The 6,656-nt window shown below is 34.2% G+C and overlaps 1 protein-coding gene across 8 annotated transcripts in view; it reads left to right on the top strand.

Moving 5' to 3' along the window:
• Positions 1–3,969: 3,969 nt before the first annotated feature.
• Positions 3,970–6,656, top strand: part of ABCA8 (ATP binding cassette subfamily A member 8) — an 88,104-nt gene continuing 85,417 nt past the window's right edge. For all 8 annotated transcript variants that reach the window (NM_001375771.1, NM_001375772.1, NM_007168.4 and 5 more), the window contains exon 1: positions 3,970–4,143. The gene's annotated coding sequence lies outside the window, so the exon portion shown is untranslated. The remainder of the gene's footprint in view (positions 4,144–6,656) is intronic.

Genomic DNA, 6,656 nt, shown 5'->3' with positions numbered 1-6,656 from the left:
AAGTCACATCTTACATGGTGGCAAGCAAGACAGCATGTGCAGGGGAACTCCCCTTTATAAAACTATCAGATCTTGTAAGACTTACTCACTATCATGAGAAGAGCACGGAAAAGACCCACTCCTCATGATTCAGTTGCCTCCCACTGGGTCCCTCCCATGACACGTGGAAATTATGGGAGCTACAATTCAAGATGAAATTTGGGTGGGGACAAAATCAAACCATATCATTCTGCCCCTGGCCCCTTCTAAATATCATATCCTTATATTTCAAAACCAGTCATGCCTTCTCAACAGTAACCTAAAGTCTTTATATATAATATACATATAAAATTTAATATATATTATATAATTATATAATATATATATGAGTCAGTATGTATTTATGAGTCAGTATACATAATATATATTATTATATTATTATTATTATATTATATTATATTATATTATTATTATATAATAATAATATATAATATTATATTATTATATTATATTATATTATTATATTATATTATATTATAAAATATATATATAATATAATATATATATAATATAATATATATTTTAATATTATATATTATATATAATATAATATATATTTTAATATTTTAATATTATATATATTAAATATTATATATATTTTATATACTATATTATATTATATAATTATATAATATATAAATATATATAATATATAATATATATAATATATAATTATATAATATATAAATAATATATATAATATATAATTATATATTATATATAATTATATATTATATATTTTATATATATATTATATATTATATATAATTATATTATATATTATATATTATATATAATTATATATATATTATATATTATATATAATTATATTATATATTATATATATTATATATATAATTATATTATATATTATATATTTATATAATATAATTATATATATATATAATATATATAACCAGCCATTGAATGTGTTGCCATTAGAATCTAAAGAGACATCACAGATGCTGACCTTTCTTCTTACTGGTTGAGGCTGCAAGATACAGTAATTTTTCTTTCACTTTGAAGGAGATAGGCAAAGCACCCCTAGCCACTGGATCCATAAAACCTTTGCCGAAGTGAAAACCTCCAGAATCTTCACAGGGTTTATCTCCCACTTTCTAAAACATGTGTACTACCAAAACCTCCAGCATGCTAGTCACATCTTGCTCATCTTGTCTGATCAGCATGATGCCATCAATGTGTCAATATGATATTCTGTGGATGTCTACATGGTCCAGACCTCTTAAGACTATATTATAAAAAAAGCTAGGGGGTCAATAGAGCACTGAGGGAAAACTGTAAAGAAATAATATTACCTAATCTATCTGATTGTGCACTGTTTTTGATGCTCTTTTCTAATCAGAATAGAGAAGAATGCATCTGACTAATCGCTGGCTAAAAATCATGTATCTGCTCTAGGAATAGATACCATGTCTGACAAAGCAACTCTAATTAGGACCACTAGTTGTTTGAGCTTGAGATAGTCTAAGCATTCTCTAGAATCTTTCTGGCTTCTGCAAGGATCAGGCTGGCAAATTAAATTAAGGTGTGCTAGGCACCACTACCTTTCATCCTTATGTCACTATTTGTGGCATTGGTCTCTGCATTTCTTCTCCCCATGTGGAATACTGTTCTTGATTAAGTGTCATGGCTGGGGATAAAGTTGGGAGAATTGTCAAAGGTGCCCACTTTCCCTTCTGCATTATGATAGTTTTTACCCTACAGGCCAAGGACTCAGCATGGAAGTTATTCTAACTACTAGATATGTCAATTCTAACAGCACATTTGGTGACAGCAAAATCACCACTGGGTATGTCCATAAGTCCAGTGAGACGAGGCAGAGCTGCTTGTTAACCGGAACTCCATTTACGACCTTGGCTCTATATTCTCAATCTAGCTGTAGGGCCTTAGTGTGGGTTGCAGTTATCAATGTCCACTCTGACTTTATGCCCAACAACCCTTGACATGTCTGGGGATTTTTCTTTCTTCAGTGTATAATCACCCAAATAATGGCTTTAGGTCCCTTTGAGGGAGGACTAGGAAGTATAATCACCACAGTATATACTTGTCAAGATGTTGCAAGATCTTTTCTTCTAGGGGTCTGACTAGTTTTTTAATCAATATGTTCTGTATCTGAAAAGTAGCTTAGGACTAGGAGCTGAGCAAGAGATCATGACTTTTTATTGGGGTGATGGAGACCATGTTGAGCCTCTTACTCCTCTATTTCTTCCCCTTCTGGTTATATAGTTACTGAGCAGCACCCTTGTTGACCTCCTTCCTATTTTGTCTGTATATCATAGTAAGGTTTATATATTTCACTTAAAATGAAGAAATATTAATTCTGGGTAAAGCATGTCAAGTTAAGTATGTCTTTTGTAATCCTGAGAGTGACCACTAAAATAACTATACAAATAGATACAGTTAAGAAACATAATAGATACGTTGAAATGCAATACCAAAAAATAATTTCAAATAACCAACAAGAAAGCAGAAAATGGGAAATAGGAGAATTAAAACCAGAGAGAAAAGAAGCAAATAACAAAATGGCAGATCTGATTTTAAAAATCAATAGCTACATAAAATGAAAATAATTTAAACACACCCATTAAAAGATGTGCATTGTCAAATTGGATTTTAAAAACCAAACTCATGACTCTATTATATGCCATCTACAAGAAACTCACTTGAAATACAATTTAGAGCTGGGTATAGTGGCATGTATCTGTAGTTTCAGCTACTCAGGAGTCTGAGATGGGAAGATCACTTGAACCCAGGAGTTCAAGTCCAGCCTTGGCAACATAGCAAGACCATCATCTTAAAAAAATAATAACAAACACAGACGCACACACACACATACACACACACGCATACACATATAATATGAATGTGATGTTTGGCAGGGCCAACAGAATTGAGATCATAACTGCCACTCTGAAAGCATATAGTGTGTGTGTGTGTGTGTGTGTGTGTAGATAAAAATAAACGGATGAAAACAAAATACCACGAAAACAATAATCACAGGAAAGTAAGAATGGCTATATTATTAATATGAAACAAAGTAGACTTTAGAACACAAAAGTTACTAGAGATAAAGATTAACATTACATAATGATAAAAGGGTCAATTCACCAAGAAGACATAACAATTCCAAATGTTGCAAAATACATCAGGCAAAACATGATAGTTTTAAAGGGAGAAATTTGAAAGTCCCTAAGTTTTGTTAAAATCTTCAACATTCCTCTCTTAGTAATCAACAGAACTAGGAGACAGAAAATTAGGAAAAATATAGAAAAAACTGAACAATATCATCAACCAACTAAATGTAATAGATATTATATAATATTCCACTCAACACCAAAAAACTATACAACTTTTCAAGTGCCTATGGAATATCTGCCAAGATAGATCATATCCTGGGTCATCAAATAAGCCTTAACAAATTTGACATACAAAATATTTTTTCTGAGTATAATTGAACTTCTGATTTAAAATTAAATCAATAACCAAAAGATAAGAAAATCTTCAGACACTTGGAAATTAAGCACATTTCTGATTAATCCGTGGGTCAAATAAATTGGAAAATAGTCTGAACTGAGTGAAAATGAAGCTGGGAAGCAGAGGAATGAAAATTTTGATTATCTAGGTAAAGCTGTCAATTAAGCAGACTAGAGCTCTGGGTAGAGAGAAGAGCTTTTCTCTGATTAAGCTGTTTACTTTCTCATGGCTTAAAGACAGCACTTTAAATTTTGGTATTAGCCACAATAATCTTGGACGTAAAAGAGAAATTGCTCCCTATAATATGATATAGCCAGGCAACCCAGTATAAATGCCACTGCTCTGCAGGAACTGGCCGAATATCAATGAGAAGACAAACAGTCCAAGCATGATGACGTGAATGTGATGTTTGGCAGGGCCAACAGAATTGAGATCATAACCTCCACTCTGAAAGCAGTCTTCACAGAAACTTTTCACAGAAGTCAAATAGTTAAAGCAAATTCTAGATACATGGTAGAGACCAGGAGAAAATATGAATAACTTTCTTCTAAACAAGGAGCTCAGTGGATAAACCATACCTCTAGATTCCTTGCTTCCATTTTCCCAGAAGTAAGTTCACTGTATTTTTTCTGTTTTGTTTTGTATTTTGCTTTTGTGTGTGAGTTTGTTTCAGAGGTTTTGTCTTTTCTTATTCCTATCACAAAATTATAAATAAACCTTTATAAACTGAATGACAATCATCTATGCAGAAATTATTTTGAAAAATATTGGGCTACTTTAAAGATTTTATATCTGGTAATTAATATTAGATAAATAAAAACATTGAGTTAGAATGTTTTTTAAAAAATTATGCAAACATTATGTTGTTTTAAACATAACTGAGTGTAGAAATAAGTTTAAATTGGCTAAAAATTTTTTGTGAAGAGCTTAGAGTTTTAAGAATTGGGTTGGAAGACTGAGTTGTTTTTGAAGTTAAAGTTATCTACTTTGATTGCACAATAATGTAGGGCATTTTGGATAAGTGTTCTTCTGACTTTAAGACTGTTTACCAAGAGCACTTACAGAAATATTTTTATTGTTCCTATCGCTCACTCTTAGTCTATAAGAATTTTAGAAATGTAAGATTCTTTCTAGGATCTTTTACTCGTTGGATACAGTGAGTTGAATCAGAATGTGAAATATGTAGCTTCTCTTTACCACAATGTTATTTAAAATGTACATTGGTAAAAAGAATTTTCATACTCCTATAGTGAATACATGTTGTTCTGAATTTTACAACAGTATAAGAGGATAAAAATGAGTCATTACAATTTGAGACTATTTGCCATATGTATAATAAAGTATTCATGTTTTTGCTAGCCTTTACATAAACTGCAGAACATACAAAAATTGGAAAGAAACAAAGTTGGCAATAATACTTTACGATGGAAGATATAAGGGATTGGAGTCAGACTGGAGTTTGCATGCTACCTAAGACTGTAGCTGATTCCATAGTGAGGAGATCATCCTCTTGGCCAATGTCTATTAACTTCGCCAGTGAATTATGCATTTCTGTAGAGAAGCTGTGATATATTTGGGCTTGTGCATGAGGTGGAGTGTAGGGAAACATCACACTCTGGGGACTGTTGTGGGGTGGGGGGAGGGGGGAGGGATAGCATTGGGAGATATACCTAATGCTAGATGACGAGTTAGTGGGTGCAGCGCACCAGCGTGGCACATGTATACATATGTAACTAACCTGCACAATGTGTACATGTACCCTAAAACTTAAAGTATAATAATAAAACGAAAAAAAAAAAAGAAATTCCTCCTGTACAGAGCTTGCATTGGCGGCAGCTGCTTTAAGAACCCAGAAACTTTTGCCCTCTCTGTAGGCTAGCTCACTGTGAAAATATCCCATGGATTTTACCTAAAATTGCTTACAGAGAGCGGCATTATACTTCTATAGATAATTGCATCAGTAACCAGAGAGGAGAAGTACAGCAGCAGACTACCCTCTACCCCCGGTAGGAGTAGTAGCACATCACAGTTTCAGCAAGTTCAATCTTGAGCAAAGAACATGATGTGATTGTTTGTGGGTATGTCTGTATACGGAGTGTGATTTTAGGTAAGGAGAGCCTTGCACAGCTCTCTTAAAAGTATCCATGCTGAATTTTCTGCACCTTAACCTAGGCTGCTTTACTCTTGGAACTGTCTTTCCCTCTTCTCCTTCCATGGGCTCTCTGACCTCTTTACTTGGTCTGCTTCCACTTAGGCCTGCCCCTCAGCCTCATTGCATGGCCATGTGTAGGTTCTTCTTCTAGCAGTGTTCTCTGAGACTGCTGTGGCTAATGTGCCTTCTGTTGCAACTGACCCCTGGACACCTTACTTGAGATTTGGCTCTAGAAAGTAGCACCACCCTGTGTGTGATCCTGTCCCATAAATGAGATGATGGCTTCAGTTGGGGCTCATTCACTTCTCATCACTATGGAGGAGTTCATAGAAACTGCATGGCCAACATGGCATGCATACGGAGGGAGATCACTTGCTTCAGAAGTCAGGACTTATGAGCCAAATGATGGTCTTCAGGGTGGAGCTGCTGGCTTTGTGCTCAAAAGTCTGGACCCATTCTTCCAAGTCATGTCCTTCACATGCTTCCCAGAAAACTGATGATGGTACCTTCCAGAATCTCTTTACTTTCTATAATTCAGCTTAGGTAGCCTGTTTTCTCCCACGGCAAAGACCATTTGAAAGCACTCTAGTCCTACAGTTTTCAGGAGTGGCTTAGCAAATCCTATTTGTGTAGCAGTGGTTGATTGAAGTTCTGGAAAGATGTGGTGCTCTTATTATGCACTGAATTATCTTCTTCTGGGAAGTATTTTATGTGCCTGCTGCAATAAACTGTATGTATAAATTCCCCTACAAAATCACCCCCCATATACAGACATACCCAGAAACAATCACATCATGTTCTTTGCTCAAGATTGAACATGCTGAAACTGTGATGTGCTACTACTCCTACCAGGGGGTAGAGGGTAGTCTACTGCTGTACTTCTCCTCTCTGGTTACTGATGCAGTTATCTATAGAAGTATAATGCCACTCTCTGTAAGCAATTTTAGGTAAAATCCATGGGATATTTTCA

The sequence above is a fragment of the Homo sapiens genome, chromosome 17 (genome assembly GCF_000001405.40).
Source record: "Homo sapiens chromosome 17, GRCh38.p14 Primary Assembly".
NCBI lineage: Eukaryota > Metazoa > Chordata > Mammalia > Primates > Hominidae > Homo > Homo sapiens.
Note: the sequence above shows the minus strand (reverse complement) of the source record. Positions and strands in the feature narration are given on the sequence as shown.